Here is a 24,735-nt window from a genome sequence, read left to right on the forward strand (position 1 = left end):
CCTTTTTAGGAGGAAGAATGGTGTTTTCTGAGGAAGAGTTAGGCCAGCCCTTGGAGGCAAGGTCTGGGCCCAGAACAGAATGGGAAACAAGGGGAGCCTTGAATAAACAGCAAATTATTAACTGTAGGCCTTCTTTCAAAAGGCTGAAGGCTATTTTGGTTGAATTTGGATCTAAAAGATTGTTGGTGGAACTTTCTGTTTTATGTTCCTTCTGTACCCTTCTACTTCTTTTCTCCTCTGCAGAGTTGAAGGCGTGACAGTGAGATATTGAGGGCCTCCAATTCTTTTTCAACAACATTCAACTAATACTTAAAAACTGCTAGGTGCTAGGGACACAAGGGTGAACATGACAGGTGCAGTGCCTCCTTCCATAGAGCTTACAGGCTAAAAGAAGATGCATATGAATGAAGGCAATTTCAGAAATCTTGCCATAGGGCTTCGATGAGGAAGAGCAGCGTCTATGGGAACACAGTGTAGGGACCTAAGCTGAAGGCATTGCAGGGGAGGGGAAGGGGGCTTAGAGCTGGAGACAGCACACCTGTATCATTTAGGGATTACCCAGTGAAGCTCTAGCATGGCCACGCTCTATGATCATTGCTACCACCTGCTGAATATTCCTGGCATAAGATGCCAGCATTTTTGCCTTCCTTAATTACTGGGTAGTTACTAGGTTTAGGGAGCTGAGATTCCTTGGGGAGTAAGTGGCAGGCGGGAAAAAAAATGTGTTTTAAGACGGCCAACCCAAATTACAATTTTGTTTTATTAGCTTGAGGATTTAGATGAACGTCTATCACCTTAAGATCTCTGGGGCTTAACTGTGTTCCCGTCACTGTGCCTTTTGAGGGCAGTGGCATGTTTTACCAGGAATTGTCCATTTTGCTACAAGCTGAGATGTACTGGGATTGGGCTCTTCCTCGGTGTAGCAGATTGAAATTTCTAGTAGTATTGTCAATCTGGAAAAAATTGAGTACATATCCCAAGTAAATGTTCACCTACAAGACTATTGCCTTACTATTAATACATCTAACACTTTTATTTACATAATAAGATAGGCAAACATATATTTTCCTCACTCTAACAGATGGATGCATGCCCCCCGCTTAGAGACCGCTGCTCTAAAGCACGGTGGCGTTAGGGGGATGTGGAGGACTAGGTGAGTGAAGATGGGATGGAACAGATGTGAGAGGAAGATGGGCAACTGGGTTCTTTGAGATTTTTCTTCCCTATCTTTAGAGCTTATAGTCTGTTCTGGAATATCAATTTTTAGGAGCTCCTCCACTTGAGGTTAGAAGCATAACCTCTATTTTCCTCTTTCTTTGTGCCCTCTGCCCTGTAGCCATCATCTCTTGCCCCAACTCTACTAAGGATGGCAAATAAGTGACCCTAATAACAGTGATCTGGGCATGGCCTCAGAGATTAACATTCTGTGGTCCACTCTGCCTACCAAATTTTGGGCAGATGGATTAGCACTAACTAATTCACGATGTGAGAAGGACTCAAGCCAAAAGTGTCCTCCCTCTGCCCCTCCCCATCCCCCACCACAGGGAACTCCACTTTGCATCCTAGGAATTCCCTGTCTGGTTTGAGTTTCATGCCTAGGGCTGAATTAGGCTTCTTGTAGGCTGTGGGTTCTCTCTTCCTAGCCCAGCCCAGGCTCTGCCAGTTCTTTTCTACTTAGCCCTCCTTGCCTAGAGCTGGGCTTCTGGGTTCACTGTCATAATGCTGTCCAGCTGGGGTCAGAGGGATCTTCACGAGGAGAGTAGCTAAGGCTTCCCCAACCTGGAAGCAGGAGGCTTCCCCTTCCTGCTTTCTCTCCTGGAGCCCTTTATGCTCCATTCCTTTGACAACTCAGCAGCAACTGTTGCAAGTTTTTTGGGGGTCTGATTTGGTTTTTAACCTTCTCATTCTTGGCTTACATTGGACCATTAGCTGTTGGGAAGAAAAATAGCATTCCCTCCTTGGGTGAAGCAGATACTGCATCTACCGAAAGTGGGGCTTTCATTCTTATTATTTAGCTCCAAGGTGGGAATATGACACCAGATGGAAGCACATTCATGAAGTACAGAAGGTGGCAGAGTGGCAGAGCAGAAAGCTAACTAGAGAGCTCTAGGGAGACTTTTTTCCCTGGGCCACAGTTGCTGTTTTCAAAAAAAGGCCAAGAGCAGGGGGCGGGATAAAGGGAAGCATGCCCTGAGGAAGCGGCCCACCTTGGGAAGGGTTTTGCTGACCAGAATGAGAAAAGAAGCATTGTTCTCCAAGTTCATCATCCTCTGGCTGTGACCTTGAATCAACTGCTTTATCTCTAGGAGCTGGAAGTCTAGCAGATAGGGAGCAAATCTCCAAGCCATGCGTGTATTAAACTGGAGGTGCTGAAGCAGGGAAACTGCTGTATACTCGGAAGAGTAGCATTCGGTTATTAGCCAGAGATGGCTAGATCTTGCATGGCCCTATTTTGATTTTAAGTTACTCCTCCCCCTCAGTCCCCAAATCCAGGGTTGTTGGGGTTTTTTAAAATTAATTTTAACTTTTTTTTTTTGAGATGGAGTCTGGCTCTGTTGCCCAGGCTGGAGTGCAGTGGCGCAATCTCAGCTCACTGCAAGCTCCGCCTCCCGTGTTCACACCATTCTCCTGCCTCAGCCTCCCGAGTAGCTGGGACTACAGGCGCCCGCCACCACACCCAGCTAATTTTTGTATTTTTAGTAGAGACGGGGTTTCACTGTGTTAGCCAGGATGGTCTCGATCTCCTGACCTCATGATCCGCCCGCCTCGGCCTCCCAAAGTGCTGGGATTGCAGGCGTGAGCCACCACACCCGGCCTTTTTTTTCTTTTTTTGAGACAGGGTCTTGCTCTGTTGCCCAGGCTGGAATGTAGTGGCAAAATCACGGCTTACTGTAGCCTCAACCTCCTGGGCTGAGGCCATCCTCCTGCCTCAACCTCCTGAGTAGCTGGGACCACAGGCACACGCCATCATGTCCAGCTAATTTTTTTTATTATTTGTAGAGACAGAATCTTTCCGTATTGCCCCGGCTGGTCTCGAACTCCTGAGCTCAAGCTATCCTCCCACCTTGGCCTCCCAAAATTCTGGGATTACAGGCATGAGCCACCAAACAAAACCCAAATCCTTTTAAGGAAGGACTTAAAAGGTATTCTGCTGTCTGTCCTTCTCAAGTTCCAAAAGAGGACAGCCTTCAAATCAACCCAGAGAAAATTCTCCCTGGTACTATATGAGTGGGAGAAGATTCTGCTGCCTCCTTTGGCAAGGTGTCATAACTCAGACAGCTGGGAAGTCCCTCCTGATGTCTACCCTAGCCCCACCCTTTCTGGGGCTGAGCTGGTTCTGATAAGTAGTGCCTCTGCCGATGTCGTTGGCCCTTCCCTGCTGGAGCTAAGCCACTGAGGGTTGGGCTGCATTTCTCCTCCCAGGCCCTAGGTCCTGCACACTCATGGCAGACACAAATATTCCACTGCTGTTTATTCTATGTTCCCACCCAGCCTGGGCAGGGGCCGTGCACCTCCCCAGCATGGGGTGGGGGTGATGACTTCACAGCTAAACATTCTCTTTGCCTCTCCCAGCTCATGTGTTCAGTCTGGTTCATAGGGCCAGAAGTACTCCCACTCTGGGTGGGGCTTTCTCTCTCATGTTCTTGAGGACAAGATTTCCCCTCAGTTTCCTGAGGAATTTCTAGGGGAAACCCTTTTCCTGTGTTTCCAGCATTCTCTCCCTGCCAAGTTTTCCTTCCCCTCTCCAGGAGGTTGTGTGAGCATCTGAGAAACCACTGCAGAGATCAGGGCCTTTTAGAGCCTTTTCCCAGGCTGGACAAGTATTTGTGTGAAATTACAGCTGCTGAGATCAGGGCCTGAAAGACTCTCTAGGGCAGAAAGAATTGGAATGGAAAGCCCAAAACTGGGGATTGGCCGAGCTCCCAGTCCCACATGGCTTTCCCATGCCTCACCACATGTCAGAGAGGATTCCCAAGGCTACTACAGCTAAGAGCCTTGACCTGCCCCGCCTTGCTGCAGGGCATACTGGGAACTGAGACAGCCACTTGACTTCTTAAGGTTGCTATTGTACAAGCTCAGGGTGACTTAAGGTGGAACACATAGATGAGTAGAAAATGGCAAAAAAAAGAAGCAAGCAAGTGACTTTGAGAGCATTTAGGTAAGAACAAGCCCTGACTTTTTATGTTTTCCATAGTGTATGTCACTTCATTTGCTTGGGTCCAAAAAAGGCCATAAGAAAGGTTTTATTGAGTACAAAATTCATAGGTTTGGACTCTGATGAACCTGATGGCGATGTTACCATCCCTGAGGCCAGGAAGAAAAAAGACAGGACTAATCCACCCCAATTGTAGACAGTGGGAACAGCGCTGGCTTGCTTAGAGGTACAGAGGAAAGCAGCATGCAACCCTGCCCCGTGGTGAAGGAAGTAGGGTGGCCAACCATCCCGGTTTGCCCGGGACTGAGCGGGGTTCCCAGGAGGCAGAAACTTCAGTGCTAAAACCTGGCAAGTCCTAGGCAAACCAGGACAAGTTAGTCACACTAGATTGAAGCCTCAGCTGAGTGCAGCTGCCTCCATGTCCCAGCGTCCTCTGTATCTAGGTTGGCATCCAGTGGCCCTCTGTGGGGTGGCATAGACTCTGCCACTTAATAAGCTCAAGTAGTCATACCCCTGCCAGGCCTTAGTTTGCTTCTATGTCAAATTGGGTTAATAGTAGCTACCAGGTAGGGGTTTGTGATGCTTGAATGAGAAGGCATGAATGTGCCTGGTGAGGCATCTGGCACATAGTAATCACTTAAATGTTAGCAATCTTAGTTATCACTCATTCATTCAGTTCATTCTACAAATTTGTGTGTGTACAATGTGCTGGGCAATGCTGTAGGCCTGAGGAACAAAGATAAAAATCCTGCCCTTGTGGAGGAGGTGGACAAACAATAAATGAATGTGTCCTATTATATGCTAGGTGAGAAGACCTGTGGAGGGAAATGATTGAGCAGGATGAGGGGGATCAAGAGTGCCAGGTAAATACAGTGGTCAGGGTAGGCCTCACTAAAAAGAAGATGTTTGTACAAAGACCTGAGGGAGGTGAGGAAGTGAGCCCTCTCCAACAAAGAGGAATCTGGGCAGAGGGAACAGCTTGTGCAGAGGCCCTGATGTAGATGCCTGTCTAGTGCGTTTAGAGAACAGCAGGCAGGCTGGTTGGGCCAGATCTCAGTGAACATGGAGAAACTAGTAGGAGATAAGGACTGGGGGGCTGGGGGAGTCATAAGGGTCCTGGAAGCCCATCATTAAGTCCTTGGTGCCTAGTTTTACTCTAAGTAAAAGCCAGAGGGTTTTGAGCAGATGAATCGCATGTACTGCCTTGGATCTTAAAAAAGATCATTCTGGCTAATACATTGAGAAGAGACTAAGAACAGGAGAGGGAGGGTGGAGGCAAGGAGACCAGTTAGAAGATGATTGCTATAATCCAGATGAGAGAGGATGGTTTAGACCAGGATGATAACAGTGAAAATGGAAAGTGATTGGACTTTAGATATATTTTGAAGCTGATAGGATTTCTCAACTACATGATATAGGAGATGGGGGCTGGGCATCAAAGATGATTACAGGGTATTAGCATGAGAGCAGAGAGGGACAGGTAGCCCTGTTCTCTGCCCCTCATATGTCCCTCTTTTTGGGAGGGAGGGTTTCATTAGGCTATTGGGGTGCACCTTATGATCTTTAATATCTGATGTCTTGGTTTGCCCTCATAATCATCTACTAAACCTTGGTAAGAAGGAAAGGGCATCTACTCCCTTTACATTGTGAATCCTGCTTTTTTGAGAAGCGTCCCAGGTAGCTTAACAAATTACCAGCACTCCTGCCAGCAAGCCTGGCTCTCCAGCACAGCAGACCCAACTTGGCACAGCCTTGCCATCTCTGGTCCCTGGGGAGAAAGGACCAGCAAGGCCCTGCCCCTTTGGCAAGTCTGCCTCTGCCTGTCTGGGGCTAAAGATTCCCTGCCCAGAACACTCCTTTCCCAGGCTCTGGCTTTCCCTCCTACTGGGAACCTGACTTCTCAGGCTGGTGGGGCAGGGAGTCTCTGGGGAGCAACCCAATTTGCTTCTAGAGGTTTGGCCAAACCTCACAGCTCTGCGGGGCTCAGCTGTGCCCCTAAGCTGGAGGCCAGGGTGATGTGCTTGGGCACTGGGAGTCAGGAGACCCTGGATAAGCCATCAGGCACCACTTCCCTAACCAGCCCCTGTGTCTCTCTCCTAAGCACTAGCAAGTGAATGTGGTCTCAAAAGAGGGCCCTCACACCCCTAACTGCATAGGTGTGGATGCTAGTTCATCCCCTGCCCCCCCACTTTCATCTCCCACCCCCCACATCTACCTTCCCAGACAGATGAGTATCTTATGTATGTCTCCTGATGCTTTTTGTTTTATAGGATAGGGAAATGGAGGCCATCCCAAACTCTGCAAATAATGCTCCCTTGGGTACCTATTTTCCCATTTTCAAAATCTTTATCTGTTCAGATGTCTTCCTCAGGTCCTAACCCAAATCTCTCCTTTTGACATTTAAGGTAACACTCCTGGGTTCTTTTTTGAGACAGAGTCTCTCTCTCGCCCAGGCTGGAGTGCAGTTGCATGATCTCAGCTCACTGCAACCTCTGCCTCCCAGATTGCAATTCTCTTGCCTCAGCCTCCCTAGTAGCTGGGATTACAGGCATGCGCCACCACACCCAGCTAATTTTTTTGTATTTTTAGTAGAGATGAGGTTTCACCGTGTTGGCCAGGCTGGTTTCAAACTCCTGACCTCAAGTGATACACCCACCTTGGCCTCCCAAAGTGCTGGGATTACAGGCATGAGCCACCACGCCCGGCCCACTCTTGGGTTCTATTCAGTGAAGATTTTCAGTGAAGAGTAGACATTTGCCTGTATACCACGTCTGCATTCCTTCCTCAGCAACAGAATAGCCCTTCACATTGACTAAAGTGTAAAGAAGGCCTCTGGCATCCAAGTCCTTTGCCTCCGTTTTGTCCCTGCAGCCTCCATCATCCACTTCTTGTTCTCTCTGTGAAGCTCAGTTGAAGTTCCCTTCCTCTGATTCTGACCCTCCTCAGCTGCTAACCTTTTTTCAAGACAAAAGTCACCCTACCCTGCCTCTGGGAAACCCTTCAAACCGGCAACCAACAGCTTCCAGTGCCAAAACCAGGACTAATTTGCCTCAGCGTGTAAACAACTTGAACACCAACTGGCATTAATCACCATGGTAGGATTGCCCCTCTTCCCTTCAAGGGTAGCCCCACCTGGGGACCCATGAAAGGACCCAAATATAAGGAAAGCACTGAGAATAATTCTGCCTATCTCTTGTCCCTCTGGGAAAGTGCGTAGAGAGTAGGTGTGGTATGTATGTGGTGCATGTTCTGTGTGTGTGTGTGTCATATATCTGTGTGGTATGTATTGTGTATGTGGTTTGTGTTTGGTGTGTATGTGTCTGTATATTGTGTATAAGGTGTGTGATGTGAGTGGTGTATGTGGTTTGTGGTGTGTATGTGTCTGTATAGTGTGTGTGGCATGTGGTGTGTGTACACACAGGTATGTAAGCAAACGTATGTTGGTAGGGAGGATGCTGCTAATCAAGTACTGCGTGGCATCTGAAAACTTTGTGGCCCCACCTTTCTTGTTCTCTTTTTATTCAATCTGAGTAGTAGTACTTCCCTTAGTACCTACTTAGTCCTTAGTAGAATGGTAGTATCTCTCAGTGGTGTGTGTTTGTGCCTCTGTGAGTGTGTGTACATGCATACACCTAGGCACACAGGTGTGTATATGTGTGTGACAGAAGAGGGGCACATGTGCTTAAAGGGAATGCCCACAAGTTATAGTCTTAAAGACTCTGCCCTGATGCTCCCCTAAAGCTCCTGGATCTTAGAATTAGGACACATGTGTGGGCTCTGCCTCCATCTTGCATGACCTTGAGCAAGGAGCTTGTTCTTCCTGGCCTTTGTGTGTGAGCCAATGGATGGCAGCTCACTCTGCTTTTAAATCACTGCAGCATTTACCTGTTAATATGACATAAAAGTTCTATGTGAATCCCAAGAACCACTTTAATATTTAATGTTCTCAGAGCTGGAGCCTGGGGCATACTCAATCAGTAGCAGATAAGATTTTATGTCTGGTTAAGAATTTATCCAGCTTATACTTGTTACTAAGATAAGTGAGTGGTCCCATGGCTGACTAGTTTCATTTTGCCCATTTTTAGACTGAAAGTTCCACCCTCTCTAAGTCCTGGGCAGATTAGGATGGTTGTCTCTAACTGGATCTCATACTTGAGCAAATCAGGAAGGAAAGGGTCTTTTTTATTTATTTTATTTTAGAGACAAGGTCTCATTTTGTTGCCCAGGCTGGAGTGCAATGACGTGATCACTGCTGCTCACTGCAGCCTCAAACTCCTGAGGTCAAAACAATCTTCCCACTTCGGCTTCCTGAGTAGCTGTGACTACAGGTGCACCACATCATGCCTGGCTAATTTTTGTCTTTTTTGTGGAGACAAGGTTTCACCATGTTGCCCAGGCTGGTCTCGAACTCCTAAACATAAGCAATTCACCCACCTTGGCCTCCCAAAGTGCTAGGATTACAGACGTGAGATACCATGCCTGGCCTCTTTATTTTATTTATTTTTGAGACAGCGTCTCTCTCTGTTGCCCAGGCTAGAGTGTAATGACATGATCATGGCTCACTGCCACTTCAAAACTGCCTTTTATCATTTTCCTTTTTTCCTACATTCATTCATCCACTCCTATCTCCTTTTCAGGTCTGTCTGGGAACCCTGCAGATCTGGAGAAACGTAGGCAGGTGTTTGGACACAACGTGATCCCCCCCAAAAAGCCCAAGACTTTCTTAGAATTAGTGTGGGAAGCTCTTCAAGATGTCACGCTTATCATCCTGGAGATTGCAGCCATCATCTCCCTGGTCCTGTCCTTTTATCGCCCTGCTGGTGAAGAAAATGAACGTGAGTGTCCTAAACAGCTCAGCGTGACTCTTATCTGGGTTCTTTCCACCACCACCACCAAGCGCTTAGTATTGGTGGCTGACAGGTTATAGCTTAAAACATTTCCCCCATTATCCAGAGTGGGCTTTCCAAAGGAAACCAAGCAGTAGCTACTAAGCTATTCTTCCAACTCATCCTTATTCCAAGGGTTCCTCCCCACCCCACCCTCACCCTCTGTCTTCTATTAAATCCTTTTTCGGAATGTCAGGAATCCTCTACCCTTTTAAGACATTTTATTTATTTATTAATTATTATTATTATTATTATTTTAATGGAATCTTGCTCTGTCACCCAGGCTGGGTGCAGCAGCTTAATCTGGGCTCACTGCAACCTCCTGGGTTCAAGCAATTCTCGTGCCTCGGCCTCCTGAGTAGCTGGGATTACAGGCGTGTGCCATCACGCCTGGCTAATTTTTGTATTTTTAGTAGAGACAGGGCCTTACCATGTTGGCCAGACTGGTATCAAACTCCTGACCTCAGGTGATCCACCCGCCTTGGCCTCCTAAAGTGCTGGGATTACAGGCGTGACCCACTTGCCTGGCCTATTTAATAATTTTTACAACATAGAGACAAGGTCTCACTATGTTGCCCAGGTTGGTCTCAAACCCCTGGGGTCAAGCGATCTGCCTGCCTTGGCCTCCCAGAGTGCTGGGATTGCAGGTGTGAACCAACACCCCCAGCCAGGAATTCTCTACCCTTATCCAACCAACAAAACCCTACATCTCAAAGTGCCCCCTGCCACCAATTGTCTGGCATGATGGGAAACAGTAGTGAAAGCCTGACCATGTTGGGAACCATAAGTGTGACCTTACATGTGACTTCCCTAAATTTGATAGTTTGTACTATTTAGTCATTTGCCTCTTTTGGATTAACATAAATAGTTACACTAGTGATAAGACAATACTCAATCCTGCTATCCTCTGATATCCTCTTCCAGCCAACAGTTGTATTTGCTATTATTCACTTTTCCTGACTTTCTATCTTGGGGTGATTGTGGAAGCACTACTCCTATTTCTTAATGTCAACAAAAGCCCTTCAGTGACTATTTCTCTCCCTTCCTGGGATAGTGTGTGGTCAAGTCGCAACTACCCCAGAAGATGAAAATGAGGCACAAGCTGGCTGGATTGAGGGGGCAGCCATCCTTTTCTCAGTGATCATCGTGGTGTTAGTGACTGCCTTTAATGATTGGAGCAAAGAGAAGCAATTCCGGGGGCTGCAGTGCCGCATTGAACAGGAGCAAAAGTTCTCCATCATCCGAAACGGTCAACTCATCCAGCTCCCTGTGGCTGAGATTGTGGTTGGTGATATTGCCCAAGTCAAATACGGTGAGAGCTCCGTGTTTCTTTTGCTTACCCCACCACCACCCCCATTTAAGGGATAGGTCCTTTGGCATGAGGGGGCTGGGAATTGCTGAAAACCCAAAAAGATAAGATCCAAAATTGTATTCACTTCTAGGTTAGAGTTTAAAGAGGTTGTGGGAAGCCATTTCAGAAAGGAGTAGCTGAAACTCTGTCGCAAGATTGTCAGACTTGTACCCTGTGTGTCTTAGGGTTAAAAGTGTATAACATTCAGGCCATGGAAAGGTGTTGGGGATGAATAAGAGTTTGAATTTATAATGCCTGGAAAGCAACCTTCTCCCAGATTGTACAGAGCTGAAGACTTGTAAAGAGTCTCCATGTACTCTCGGCCATTGCTGTCTAGATAGGGCCCATGGGAACAGCCATGAGATAGGGTTGAAGGAGTTGGAGGACCCTACCCTCAGCCAGTCTCTTACTATCTCCTTCACTGTCCCTCCTTCCCCTTTGTGCTCTAGGTGATCTGCTGCCTGCAGATGGAATCCTGATCCAAGGGAATGATCTGAAGATTGATGAGAGCTCTCTGACAGGGGAATCTGACCATGTCAAGAAGTCCCTGGACAAAGACCCCATGTTGCTCTCAGGTATAGGCCCTGGCTGCCCAAGTTCCCATTTACCTCCCTGCAAACACCTAGGCCACAGGATCCAGACCCTGTTCTCTCCTCTGACTCTGTCCCATCTCCTTCCCTGGGGTTCAGCTGGGGCAACAGCATTTTGGTGGGTGGAATACAAGGATATCAGGCAGCCTAAATGAAGTTTTCCATGAAACAAGTGTTATAAGGGCCTTGAAGGGGCTTTGCTGGTTGCAGGGGTGGCGGGGGCAGGAGGGAGGGCTTACCCTAAAGCGGTTAGACACATTTTCCTCCTTACTCCCAATTTGTCTGGTCTGTTTTAAATGCGCCCAGCTCTTGACCTTTTCCTACTGTGCTAAGCACATCATTATCCATGGGGTAGGGAGGAGTATTTTTTCTTCTAAGTTTGTGTTTCATACCAAATCATGTCTAGGTATTAAAAAACCCATTCCTTCCCATCTTCTCCTTTCCCGTGTAGGGACCCATGTCATGGAAGGTTCTGGCCGGATGGTGGTGACAGCTGTTGGTGTCAACTCTCAGACTGGAATCATCCTTACTCTCTTGGGGGTCAATGAGGATGACGAAGGGGAGAAAAAGAAGAAAGGTAAGGGGCATCTGGAATGAGATTCTCTTTCCTCTCATCCCCATGGACAAACAAGGAAGCGAGGGAGCAGATCTGGATAGAAAGCATGGTTGGAAGAATCTGCTGCCATGAAGAAAGCAGATATCCAAACTCCTTGCTGAGATAAAGATGTAAATCCTTGGCTCCAGGGAGCTCTGATGAAAACCAGATCCTGGCTCTAGGCTCCCAAATCAGGTTGAATTTGAGCCTTGATTTTTATGTCTAATGGTAGCTTGTAAAGGGATGAGTTATAAAGCCTGCCCTAAATAAACTGGCTAGGTGCTGGTAGCCCCAAATGCCTTCCGTGTACTCCCCCTCCTTCCCCAACTTTCTTCCTCAAAGATGGGGGGTTAAACGAACCATCAAGACTAAGAGAAAATTGGCCAGAAGAGTAAAATAGATTTCTGCCGAAACTGTAGGCTCTCAATGGAAGAGACACACAGCTAGAAGAGTAGGAACAGTTAGTTCAGTCTTTGCCACTCAGTTATTCCTGAAGGAAAGAATAAGAGGGAGAAAGAGGAGAAGATACTAAAACCAAGTCTACACGTTTCCCTAAGCATTCCTTCTTCCCTTAGGGGAGAGAAGGTTTCTACCACTTGGCTGGAGAATCATCTTGAGCTGTTTAGTGGAGGACAGTTTATGAAAAGGAAACAAAACACATTCTCTCAGGAACTAAATAATTCATTTCTGCAGCTGCCTGCAGATGAATAAGGGGGAAGCTTGCCTGGTGCTGTTGAAGTAACACGGAGACACCTTTCAAAGTCTTTGCCATCAGGCAGAAACGGTTCAAACCTCTCACTTCCTAATCCCCACCCCATTTTTCCAAGCAATGTGACTCAGGCCAGGAGCAAGAGAAAGCACCTCAGGTATGAGTATGCACTCACCTACATGAGCGTTTTGGTGGATATCCCGAGGATTCATGACAGCCTCTAGCAAGAATGAATGAAAACAGAGATGTGAGCTTCCTTTACATTTATGTCCCTTCCCTGCAACCCAAACACTTTGCTGTTGTCCTTCTGGGCTCTGAGCAGGACCAACAAATTGGATCTCTTAATAGTTACTTTGGGTTTCGACCCCACTTTTTTCTTTCTTGTTCAAACAGGTAAAAAACAAGGAGTCCCTGAAAATCGCAACAAAGGTAACCTCTCCAACTACTCATTTACCATCTCTACCTGCCCACACTCAAACCAGACCTTTCCAGGCCATCTTCCTTCTCCCTTTTCCTCTCCATAAATCTGTTATCTGCTGCTGTGGCTCAGATGCCTCATCCTGAGGAAGGTGCAGAGATTTTTGGGGTGGTCTCAAGGTCCTGATCCCAATCTAAGATGGGACAACAGCACCCTCTGCTGTTGGCTCACAGAATGTCATGTCAAGGTTTGTCTTGGGGAGTGTGTAGGATTGATCTGCTCTTCCTAGGGAGCTGAACTCTGCTTCATTGACCTCAGCCTGATTTAAACACCAACAGTCATCAGTTTCTGGGTTGGAAGACTTCAGGGTCCTCATGGTGGAGGGAGGTGGGGTGGGTAGTCCCTGCACCGTCCTCTTGCTAGCTTCCTCATAAGTGTCCTCTTCTGGTCTGGATCCCTTCTCTGCTGGTCTTCTCAGGGGTGCTTGGAGAGAGCCCTTTCTCTGTATCTCTCTCCCCACCTCCCTTCTTTGTTCTTGCCACAGTCTGTTTTCTTCCTCCTGATCTGATGTGTGTGTCTCTTTTGGTGACTGTGTTCACATTCTGTCTCCGTCTTCTTGTTTGTGAGTCTGACAGCAGGGACTACTCAGGAAGGGTATCCTAAGCAAGGGGCTGAGCCCTATAGCAGTGAAAGTGGAGTGGTGCTGGGAGCCAGCAAGAACTACTGTCTTGTGACGCTCCTAGAGATTTGTTTTTACTTTGTAACCCACATCACAGCAGTCTTTAGAAATAAAGTCATCACATTGGAAAACCAGAGCTAAACAGAAATAATTCTTTAATTTTAGGTCTTTAACTCTTCTTTTAAAAGCAAAATGGATTTATATGTCTCTCTTTATCCCTGCTTTCTCTTATTCCAGGAGGTCCCTCACACCAGCTTCTTCCCTCTTCCCCAAAAGACTTAACCCCAGGTCCCACTCTGTATCTCTCTACCTTTGTCAGGCAGGGAAGAAAGGGAATTTTCTTTTCCTATCCTCAACTGCTAGAAGGGGCTGGAAAATACCCTGGGTCTGGGGGTATGTGTTTCTTCCCTGACAATCGAGAGAGAGAGAGAGAGAGAGAGAGAGAGAGAGATAAACCATTTAACAGAGCAATCTTGTGCTCCAGAAACATCTGCCAACCCTCTCCTTCAGCCCCTTTCTGCAGTAAAGATTCACTATTTTAAGCACTGAGTTCCAGGAAGGATGGTTGTTTTAATAGTGCTTAGTGACATGATTAATCCCCTTGCTGGAATAAACCTAGCTTGGGACTCTGAGGTAGTACCAGGAAGCTGCCACTGAAGAAGAAATCCATACCCTAAAAGCACCCCAGTTTCATCTAAACTCATTAGAATATTATTCCAAAGGCCCTAATAGAGTGTTGAAGGCAAGTTCCATGTCTAGCATGGGTTGGAAGTGGTCGGAACTGATGTCAGGGTCCAAGGTATATTCCGGGAAAGAGACAGGAAGGTTTTCTGGTTTCCACCTGCCTGCCACTCAGTGCTACCACCTTGCCTGCTCACCTGTCCTATTTGTGTGTACACTCCAGCAAAGACCCAAGACGGAGTGGCCCTGGAAATCCAGCCACTCAACAGCCAGGAGGGAATCGACAATGAGGAAAAGGACAAGAAGGCAGTCAAGGTGCCTAAAAAGGAGAAGTCAGTGCTGCAGGGCAAGCTGACTCGCCTGGCTGTTCAGATTGGGAAAGCCGGTGAGTAGGGTAGAGCCTCGTTGTGGTTTATCAATGTTGTCTTGGATCCTCATCACTTTTATCCCCTTCTTTCTGCACCGACCGAGACTGGCAGAAAGAAGCTGAAACTTCAGGGTGGCTAGTTGGGGCTAGGCGGCTGTTTCCCTATCTCCGCCACTGTTTGGTCGCTCCCTAGGCTTTTTCAGAGAGAAATGTTTTCCTGTGTGTAAGGGTTAATGGCCCTGAGATCTCTTAATCCAAATGAATGAGAAACAAAGAGCATATATTACAGCAGGGGAGATTTACATTAGCAAGAAGGAAGACTTTAATAACTGCTTACCTGTCTCTTGCTTTGGGTTGTAAATTCCTTAAAGATAGAGAAGGCTGCAGCTTGCTACAGGCAATTCTCTAGCATAGGAGTAGGATCTGGCTAAGCACAGAGCAATAAATACCAAGTAAGGACTGGAGGAAGAAGGAAGGCTGTGGTTACAGAGGCTCTCTCCAGAAGAGAGGTAACTAAATAATGCACTCTGCATATGAGGAAGTGGCTTCTCCATCACTTGCCTCTACATTTTCCTGTCTCACCACCTTCTTTCAATGGAGGGGGAGAAAGGGGAGTGGGAAGAAGAAATAGAAGATTGCTACTTTAGTGGACATATCTCTCAAGGAACAGTCTTTTTTTTTTTTTTTTTTTTTTTTTTTTTTTGAGATGGCGTCTTCCTCTGTTGCCCAGGATGGAGTGCAGTGGCACCATCTCAGCTCACTGCAGACTCTACCTCCTGGGTTCAAGCGACTTTCCTGCCTCAGCCACCCAAGTAGCAGGGACTACAGGTGCACACCACCAAGCCCATCTAATTCTTGTATTTTTAGTAGAGATGGGGTTTCACCATGTTGGCCAGGCTGGTCTCGAACTCCTGGTCTCAAGTGATCCGCCCACCTCGGCCTCTCAAAGTGCTAGGATACAGGCATAAGCCACCGCACCCTGCCAGAGAGTAGTTTTTTACCACTGTTTATTCTCTGATTCCACCTTTCTGTTTACCACAATCATAATCAGCACATCTCTGCACTTTATACAGCTGTATACAACTTACCTCGGGTTCTTGTTAAAGTGTAGATTCAGTTCAGGGGGTCTGGTGTGGAGCCCGAGATTCTGCATTCCTAATAAGCCCCCACAGGATGCCAGCACCGCTGATTCAGTTTGCACACATTGGATGGCAGGGATCTATGCTGCCCACCATAGCAGCCACTCACCACATGTGGCTGCTGCAATTTAAATTAATTAAAAGTAAATAAAGTTAAAAATCCAGTTGCTGGGGTAAATTTTAGTTGGTCACGAGCCACATGTGCTAGTAGTGGCTGTCATATTGGACAGCATAAATAGAGAACTTCTTAAGCGTCACAGAAAGATCTATTGGACTGAGTTGGCCTAACCTCTTCATGTCCATTCTGGTACCCAGCTAATTTTAACTACTGTGAAATCTCTTGCATATAAACTATACATGGATGAGATGAATTGCAGGTGCAGAATCAAACACACAGGTTTGAAACATTAAATCTACCCCACCTAACCCTTGTACTATTCTCCTAATCCTTGCCTTGTTGTTGTTGTTGTTTGTTTGTTTTTGAGACAAAGTCTCACTCTGTCACCCAAGCTGGAGTGCAGTGATGCAATCTTGGCTCACTGCAACCTCCACCTCCGGGGTTCAAGTGAGTCTCCCGAGTAGCTGGGATTACAGATGTGCATCACCATGCCTGGCTAATTTTTAGTAAAGACAGATTTTTGCCATTTTGGGCAGGCTAGTCTCAAACTCCTATCCTCAAGTGATCTGCCCCTGGACTCAAGGAATCCCATGGCCTCAAGTGATCTGCCGGCCTCAGCCTCCCAAAGTGCTGGGATTATAGGCGTGAGCCACTGTACCTGTCCCCTGCCTTGTTCTTCTTACAGAGTACAAGCTACCTGATGGCTGGCCACTAGTCTCCTCTGTTGCTTTATTTTATATATTAGGCCAGTCCAGGAATAGGGTGAGGCAAGTCAGATGCTTTCCACCACCTGGAGAGTGAGTTCCTTAAATTTTGCACTCTCAGTGGCTTGCTTCTCCACCTGAGTCCTGGCCCTAATCAAGCAAAGAACGGAAGAATTTGCTTTCATTGATATCATCATCTCTAGCCTTGCTTGGAGGCCCCCGAATCATCAGGCCCTTGGGAAAAGCAAAAACCAAAACCAGATAATGATTTAAAGCAGAGCTTTTCCCAAATATTGTGCCACAGTTAGGGACAGTTGTCCCCAGATATTGATTCCATCAGCCCTCAAAGCATCCAGGCAGCACCCATGGCAATCAGAACCCCTAAGCCAGTCGGTTTTGACCTTGAGCAGATTCTTTCACGTACTGTAATGTGTAGGGTAACCAACCATCCCAGTTTGCTTGGGATTTTCTCAATTTTAGCAAAGCCCCACATCCCTGGAAACTGTTCAGTAGTCTCAGGATGGTTTGGTTACTCTACCAATGGGCCATACCAAAGACTTCCCAGTACTTTCATTTCCTCATCTTTAAAAAGGCGGTAATAATAATGACCTATTTCACAGGGTTGTGAAGTGCTTGCCTGGCCCACAGCAGGTGCCCACATAAGTATTTACTATTATTGGCATCTTCTATGTGTGCCGTGACAAGAGAAATCTTGGGAAGCACTGTTCTAAGAGTTAGTCATGCAGGTGATACACTAGCACCATAGAGGCATTGTTGTAAACAAGGTGTGAATTGTCCAACATTCAGAGGTTAGTAGAGGAGAAGTCAAAATTGATAAACTACTATGAAATGGACAAGTACAGTCATGACATTATGAATCGCAGGGAGAGGGTGGGCGTGGAATAGGATCATAGAAAGCTGTTTCAGGAAACAGATCAACCCCCTGATTTATGAATGAGGAATTTGATCTAGGAAACAGGCCCAGAGAGGGTCAATGACTTGTCCAAAGCCACAAGTCAAGTTAGTGCAGTGCTGAGAATAGAACCTGTGTCTTTGAAATACGAAACCACTGTCTGTTCCCTATGCTATAATGTACAAGCAACAGAGAATGGGGGGGATTTTAGTAAGTCTTCCTGGCGATGGTGGTTTTAATAATTGGCAACAAAGGCTACAACTGATGCCAATCTATCTCTGGCTAGGGCCCTAGGACTGCCCTCCAGCCTGGGTTCATATGACTTGTTTCTCTGGACAGGTCTGCTCATGTCTGCTCTCACGGTTTTCATCCTGATTCTATACTTTGTGATTGACAACTTTGTGATAAATCGCAGACCATGGCTCCCTGAGTGTACTCCCATCTACATCCAGTACTTTGTCAAGTTCTTCATCATCGGCATCACTGTACTGGTGGTGGCTGTGCCAGAGGGGCTGCCTCTGGCTGTCACCATCTCACTGGCCTACTCTGTGAAGGTGAGACTAGAACAATCCTATCTCTTCCTTTAGGATAGAGATGGGAGAGAAGGGTACCATGTAACCTTTAGTGAAAAGATAAGCCATTCTATCATCTATAAACTTTGGCTGGTGCCTCACAAGAGCAGAAGTCCCTGGTATTATGGAAGGACCATCTCTGTCAGATGCATCAATGTTGAAATGACCCAGCAGAATCTTAAGAGAATGACAAAAATGGTATCTTGGATTTTTTTTTTTTTTTAAGACAGAGTCTCATTCTGTCACCCAGGCTGGAATGCAATGATGCAACCTCCGCCTCCCGGGTTCAAGTGATTCTCGTGCCTCAGCCTCCCAAGTAGCTGGGATTACAGGTGTGCACCACCATGCCCAGTTACTTTTTGTATCTTTTACAGAGACAGGGTTTCACCATGTTGGCCAGGCTGGTCTTGAACTTCTGACCTCAGGTGATCTGCCCGTCTCAGCCTCCCGAAGTACTGAAATTACAGGCATGAATCACTGCACCCAGTCAGTATCTTGGATTTTTGTGTGGGACTGGAAGATGAAATGTGGAGAGATGTTGGCTAGGAAATGGCCTTTGACCTAGATTTAGGAGAGTCCAGTTAGTCCCCCTCTCAAGTCTTTTCTCTTCTCCTTTGTAGAAAATGATGAAAGACAATAACCTAGTACGGCACTTGGATGCTTGTGAGACCATGGGCAACGCCACCGCCATCTGCTCTGATAAGACAGGCACGTTGACCATGAACCGCATGACTGTGGTACAAGCTTATATTGGGGGCATCCATTACCGTCAAATCCCAAGCCCTGATGTCTTCCTGCCCAAAGTCCTGGACCTCATTGTCAATGGCATTTCTATCAACAGTGCTTATACCTCCAAGATTCTGGTAAGCATTTCCTTTGCGTAGACACTTAGAGTGGGTGGTTGGAAGGGAACATCCATTTTCTCTGAAATGAACCCCCTTATTGTTTACACTGCCTAAATTGCCATCCCACATCCCATTTCTCACGCTGGAGTGAACATGTTTGGGTGAGACTACAGAAAAATCCCTGGGAGTCAATGGAGGGTTGGAGGTAAGGGCCTGTAAGAATCTATGGCCAGGAAATACCCTCCCAATTAGCATGTAAAAGCAATGTCTCTAAGGAGGGAAAGTAGAAAGTAACCCAAAGTAGAATTGGGCTTATCAGAAGTAAATTACTCACTTTCTAGAAACAAGCATAGTGTATTAGAATAAGACCCACACAAGGCGAGACACCAGCACTACCACTAGAGCAAACTACAAAATCCCTAAGCCCTGGATGGCACAAGGATCACGGTTACCACTGACCCCTCTCTGCCTACCCTTGAAAAACAACAGGCTAGGCATAGTGGCTCACTTCTGTAATCCCAGCACTTTGGGAAGCCAAAATGGTAAGATCGCTTGAGCCCAGGAGTTCGAGACCAGCCTGAGCAATATTGTGAGACCTCATCTCTACAAAAATAAACAAAATTAGCCAGGCATGGTTGCGCACCTGTAGTCCCAGCTACTCCAGAAGCTGAGGTGGGAGGATCACTTGAGCCTAAGAGGTCAAGTCTGCAGTGAGCTGAGATCACACCACTGCAGTCAAGCCTGGGCAACAGAGCAAGGTGCTATGTCAAAAAGAAAAAGAAAAAAGATGCCAGGTGCTGTGGCTCATGCCTGTAATCCCAACATTTTGGGAGGTTGAGGTGGGCAGATCACCTGAGGTCAGGAGTTCAAGACCAGCCTGGCCAACATGGTGAAACCCGGTCTCTACTAAAAATACAAAAATTAGCTAGGCATGGTGGCAGGTACCTGTAGTCCCTGCTACTCAGGAGGCTGAGGCAGAAGAATCACTTGAACCTGGGAGGTGGAGGTTGCAGTGAGCCAAGGTCGTGCCACTGCACTCCAGGCTGGGCAACAGAGCGAGACTCCATCTCCAAAAAAGAAAAAAAAAAATGTTATTTCCCCTATGAGCTCCAGGTATATAATGTGAAGGCTTTGTAAATGAGTTCTTTCTCCCTAAGTTCTCTGCCTTGTCAAGGCATCTTACTCAATAGTGCTGTGTATATTTCTTCTCCCAGCCTCCAGAGAAGGAGGGAGGCCTGCCTCGGCAGGTGGGCAACAAGACCGAGTGTGCTCTGCTAGGCTTTGTCACAGATCTGAAGCAGGATTATCAGGCTGTGCGTAATGAAGTGCCCGAGGAGAAGCTCTACAAGGTGTACACCTTTAACTCAGTGCGCAAGTCAATGAGCACCGTCATCAGGAATCCCAACGGTGGCTTCCGTATGTACAGCAAGGGCGCCTCTGAGATCATCTTGCGCAAGTGAGCACCCCCGACCACTCTGCTTCCCTTCAAGATCCTCTCCTCAGGAAGGCATGGGTGCACACCCCACACTGAACCCATGTGAATGAGGGAGCCCTCCAGCCAGGTGGTGACATAATAACTAATATCCAAGCGTCTACTCAGGCCACGCATGTTTTTTAAGTGCTTAAGGTGGCTTGTTGTATTTAATCCTCACAACTCAGTAAGGTGGGTACTATGATTATCCCTGTTTTACAGATGAGAAAACAGAGATATAAGGAAGTTAAGTATCTCACTCAAGGTGATACAGCTAATAGTGGCACAGCCAGGATTCAGACCTGGACGATCCTAAGTTTCCATTTCCTAATCTGAAAACAGAGATAGCCATACTCAGCTCCTAAAAGTACTACCCCCTCACTGTAACTAAATGATTCAATGTATGTAAAATGCCTTATACATAACAAGTACTAGAAACGTTTGTTCTGTGTTCTCTTTTCCTTCTCTTTCCTTCCCATTCCCATTTCTGATTACAGGGAATTTACATAACTTTAAAAGTGACTATTCGGCCAGGCGCAGTGGCTCACGCCTGTAATCCCAGCACTTTGGGAGGCCGAGGCAGGCAGAACACGAGGTCAGGAGTTCGAAACCAGCCCGACCAACATGGTGAAACCCTGTCTCTACTAAAAAAAAATACAAAAATTAGCCAGGCATGGTGGTGCGTGCCTGTAATCCCAGCTACTCAGGAGGCTGAGGCAGGAGAATCGCTTGAACCCAGAAGGCAGAGGTTGCAGTGAGCTGAGATCGCACCACTGCACTCCAGCCTGGGTGACAGAGTGAGACTCCATTACAAAAAAAAAAAAGTGACTATTAATAAATTACCCATAGTTCATCAAAAGTTGGCACTATACCTAAGTAGGGCTGAATTAACCAGTGCTCCAACATGGCTTTAGCCACCTTCTTTTAATCAGCACATTCTTGTATAGGAAACCTCCCCCAAACCACCAGCACCACACAGTGAGCACTATTCTAAATACTCGGATTGAAAAAGTCTCTCTGCCTTCAAGAAGTTCAAAAGAGCAGGTGATTCACAAATGACTTGCATTGCATTCACATATGGGTAAGAACAGATGACATGGGAGAATCCCACTCTCTATATATCTAGACCTTAACTCCATCCACAGCCCACCTACCTTGGAAAGAGGGACTCAGCTGGGTGATGAATGAAGGAAATGTTTGGCCACACTTGGAGCAATGTCTTTAGGAATAATACAGAGTTGCCAAAATACCTGTCAATGATTGTAGAAACGTATTGAGTGGGAAGGGAGACACCGCGTTCTTACTGTGCGCCTCCCCAGGTGTAATCGAATCCTGGACCGGAAAGGGGAAGCAGTGCCATTCAAGAATAAAGACAGAGATGATATGGTACGCACTGTCATCGAGCCCATGGCCTGTGATGGACTCCGGACTATCTGCATAGCTTACCGGGACTTCGATGACACAGAGCCCTCTTGGGACAATGAGAATGAGATCCTCACCGAACTGACCTGTATCGCGGTGGTGGGCATTGAGGACCCTGTGCGCCCAGAGGTGAGAGGGTGGGAAGCCACCCAGGAGTCTCAGGAAGTGGGGTACTAGTTCCCTTTCTAGTTGTGACCCCAGGCAGGTAACCTAACTGCCTCTCACTTAGAGGGATAGAAGTTTCTGTGCTTCCTGCTTCACAGGACTGCTGTGGAGTGCCAGTATGATCGAATGTGGCATTCCTAGGACTAATGCTGTCTGAGTGTTGAGAAGCAAAGGGCTTATTGGGCTCATTATTTGGTACTTAAGTGTTGTCAGGAGGTCAATTTAGCCAGGACACCAACTTTGTCTTTAGCTCCCTCCTTTCAATCAACACATTCTTTTTGAGTACCTGCTGTGTGCTGATAACTATTCTAGACACTAGGGGATTGAAAAGTCTCTGCTTCTAAGAAGTTTAGACAGATGGACTATTAATTCTCAAGGCCCAGAGGCATGAGAGGGTGTCATGCATGTGGGAAATTACAAAGAGCTGATATGGTTGGAACATGGGCCAGGTGGGTGGAGAGTGGCAAAAGCTTCTGCTAGAAAAGAAAGCACTGGCCAAATCGCAAAATGCCATTCATGCCCTGCCGAGAAGTCTCAATTGTAAGTGAAAGAGCAAGTTTTTACACCTCACTCCCAAAGCAAATTTCCCCTTCAACTCATGGTACAATAGGGCAAATTCAAATGTGACTGCCGTGGGTAGGACAGAAGTGAGGTGGCACCCAACAGTATCAAAATGACCAGACCTAGCCCATGCTGCATGGCACCACTTCTAGGGTGCCTTTCTCCTGTCTGCCACAAAGGGACAGACAAACAGGGACAGCTTACCAGGGTCATCACCCTCATCTGCGCCTTTCCCCTTTCTTCACTCTCCATAGGTGCCAGATGCTATTGCCAAATGCAAACAAGCTGGCATTACTGTCAGAATGGTGACAGGTGACAACATCAACACAGCCCGGGCCATTGCCACCAAATGTGGCATTCTGACACCTGGGGATGACTTCCTGTGCTTAGAAGGCAAAGAATTCAACCGGCTCATCCGCAACGAGAAAGGCGAGGTGGGTCCTGGCTAGGGGGAACCAGGACCTCACCTGACAAGGAAAAGGCGGGTTCTAGCATAAGGCATCTGGGTCATGTGCGGGAAGGTGGGTGGTTTCTAAAGTGAAAGCTATTCGTAGTGAAACATCTCCTTGTACCAAACTGCTGATATGGTAACATTGGGAGTTGCCGGCTGGGCGCGGTAGCTTACTCCTGTAATTCCAGCACTTTGGGAGGCCACGGCGGGTGGATCACAAGGTCAAGAGATAGAGACCATCCTGGCCAACATGGTGAAACCCCGTCTCTACCAAAAATACAAAAATTAGCTGGGCATGGTGGCGTGCACCTGTAGTCCCAGCTACTGGGGAGGCTGAGGCAGGAGAATCACTTGAACCTGGGAGGCGGAGGGTGCAGTGAGCCAAGATCATGCCACTGCACTCCAGCCTGGGCAACAGAGCAAGACTCCGTCTCAAAAAAGAAAAAAAAAAGAGGGGGGGAGTTGCTTGTGAATGAAGCTTGCTAGCTTCATTCACAAGCTATCTTTTGAGACAGTGTCACTAACTTTTCTTGTCTTTCTGCTTTTTCAGTTTTTTATACTGACTTCCCCCTAGCCCACCCCTCCTGTGTCCCTGCCCTTTGGCTAACAGTGGCTAAAGGAGAATGTGGTCTGGCGGTGGCACAGATCCAAGCTTTCCTGAGCTACATAGAAATCAAACCTAAGACCTCAGAAGCACCACTTTACCCACCCGAGCCAACAGCCAACCCTGGCCCACCTCCCATTAAAGGTCTGGGAAATGGGGGATTGGCTGCCAGGTAGGGACTTGGGAGGAAAAAGAAAAAAAGCAGGGCCTGAATGGTCATCATCCATGAATCTACCCTTGGAGACTGGTTGGCTGTTTCATCTCTGCTTAATCCAGAATAACACTTTCATGTGGGACTGTGGTGTACCCAATCTCCCAGTGACTCCAAGTGTATGGAGAAGTTAAGATTTTCCTGGATAGCTTTTCTGCATTTGACTGATCCAGGTGTGGTCTGGTGTTGGCAGGTAGAGCAAGAAAAGCTGGACAAGATCTGGCCTAAGCTTCGGGTCCTGGCGCGATCTTCTCCCACTGACAAGCACACCCTGGTGAAAGGTGAGGTTGGCTTCCAAATAGGTGCCTGCAACAGCTGAAGGCAGGCCAGGGCGAGGACAGATAAGAACCACCAGCCAAAGCCACTCTCCTGTCCAAATAGGGAGGTCCTAGGAGAGCTCCCAGGCTAGTGGGGAGAACATACAGTTAGCAAACATCTGAGCCCTTGGTGAGTATGACACACAATAAAGTTGTTGGGTTTTTATTTTTTTTATTTTTTGTTTTTATTTTTGGAGACCGAGTCTTGCTCTGTCACCCAGGCAGGAGTGGAGTGGTGCAATCTCAGCTCACTGCAACCTCCGCCTCGTGAGTTCAAGTGATTCTCCTGCCTCAGCCTCCCGAGTAGCTGGGACTACAGGCGCATGCCACCATGCCTGATTAATTTTTGTATTCTTAGTAGAGACAAGGTTTCACCATGTTGACCAGGCTGGTCTCGAACTCCTGACCCCAGGTGATCCGCCCACCTCGGCCTCCCAAAGTGTTGGGATTAGAGCCGTGAGCCACCGCACCTGGCAATTGCATGGGTTCTTAAAAACATGATCATGTCTTATTTACCAATAGTACTGTGAACTAGGCAGGGCAGGTATTCCCATTTTACAAATGAGGAAGTTTGAGGCTGAGAAGACAAGTAACTTACCCAAATTACCCAGCTGGTACGTGGAAATGGTGCAGTTTGACCCCTAGGTCTCTGCCTTGAAATCCATCCTATGTGTTCTTCATAGCTGTCTTAGGGTACCGGATGAGGACAAACTTAGTTCAGTGCTACTCATGAAACAACTTACTGCCCTTAGGTGGTTCCTGTAGAACTTCTAGGAAAGGGAAAAGGGAAGGAAAGAAGAAAGTAGAAGG

At 47.1% G+C, this 24,735-nt stretch overlaps 1 protein-coding gene across 4 annotated transcripts in view; it reads left to right on the forward strand.

Annotated features, from left to right (window-relative positions):
- ATP2B4 (ATPase plasma membrane Ca2+ transporting 4) overlaps positions 1-24,735 on the forward strand; it is a 117,250-nt gene that overhangs the window by 62,532 nt on the left and 29,983 nt on the right. For all 4 annotated transcript variants that reach the window (NM_001001396.3, NM_001684.5, NM_001365783.2 and 1 more), the window contains exons 3-14: positions 8,794-8,991; positions 10,097-10,354; positions 10,843-10,968; positions 11,435-11,560; positions 12,681-12,716; positions 14,289-14,450; positions 17,646-17,860; positions 18,499-18,741; positions 19,938-20,179; positions 21,514-21,745; positions 22,597-22,776; positions 23,802-23,889. In NM_001001396.3, the coding sequence (NP_001001396.1) occupies positions 8,794-8,991; positions 10,097-10,354; positions 10,843-10,968; positions 11,435-11,560; positions 12,681-12,716; positions 14,289-14,450; positions 17,646-17,860; positions 18,499-18,741; positions 19,938-20,179; positions 21,514-21,745; positions 22,597-22,776; positions 23,802-23,889 (2,106 nt within the window). The remainder of the gene's footprint in view (positions 1-8,793; positions 8,992-10,096; positions 10,355-10,842; positions 10,969-11,434; positions 11,561-12,680; positions 12,717-14,288; positions 14,451-17,645; positions 17,861-18,498; positions 18,742-19,937; positions 20,180-21,513; positions 21,746-22,596; positions 22,777-23,801; positions 23,890-24,735) is intronic.

The sequence above is a fragment of the Homo sapiens genome, chromosome 1 (assembly GCF_000001405.40).
Source record: "Homo sapiens chromosome 1, GRCh38.p14 Primary Assembly".
Lineage (NCBI taxonomy): Eukaryota > Metazoa > Chordata > Mammalia > Primates > Hominidae > Homo > Homo sapiens.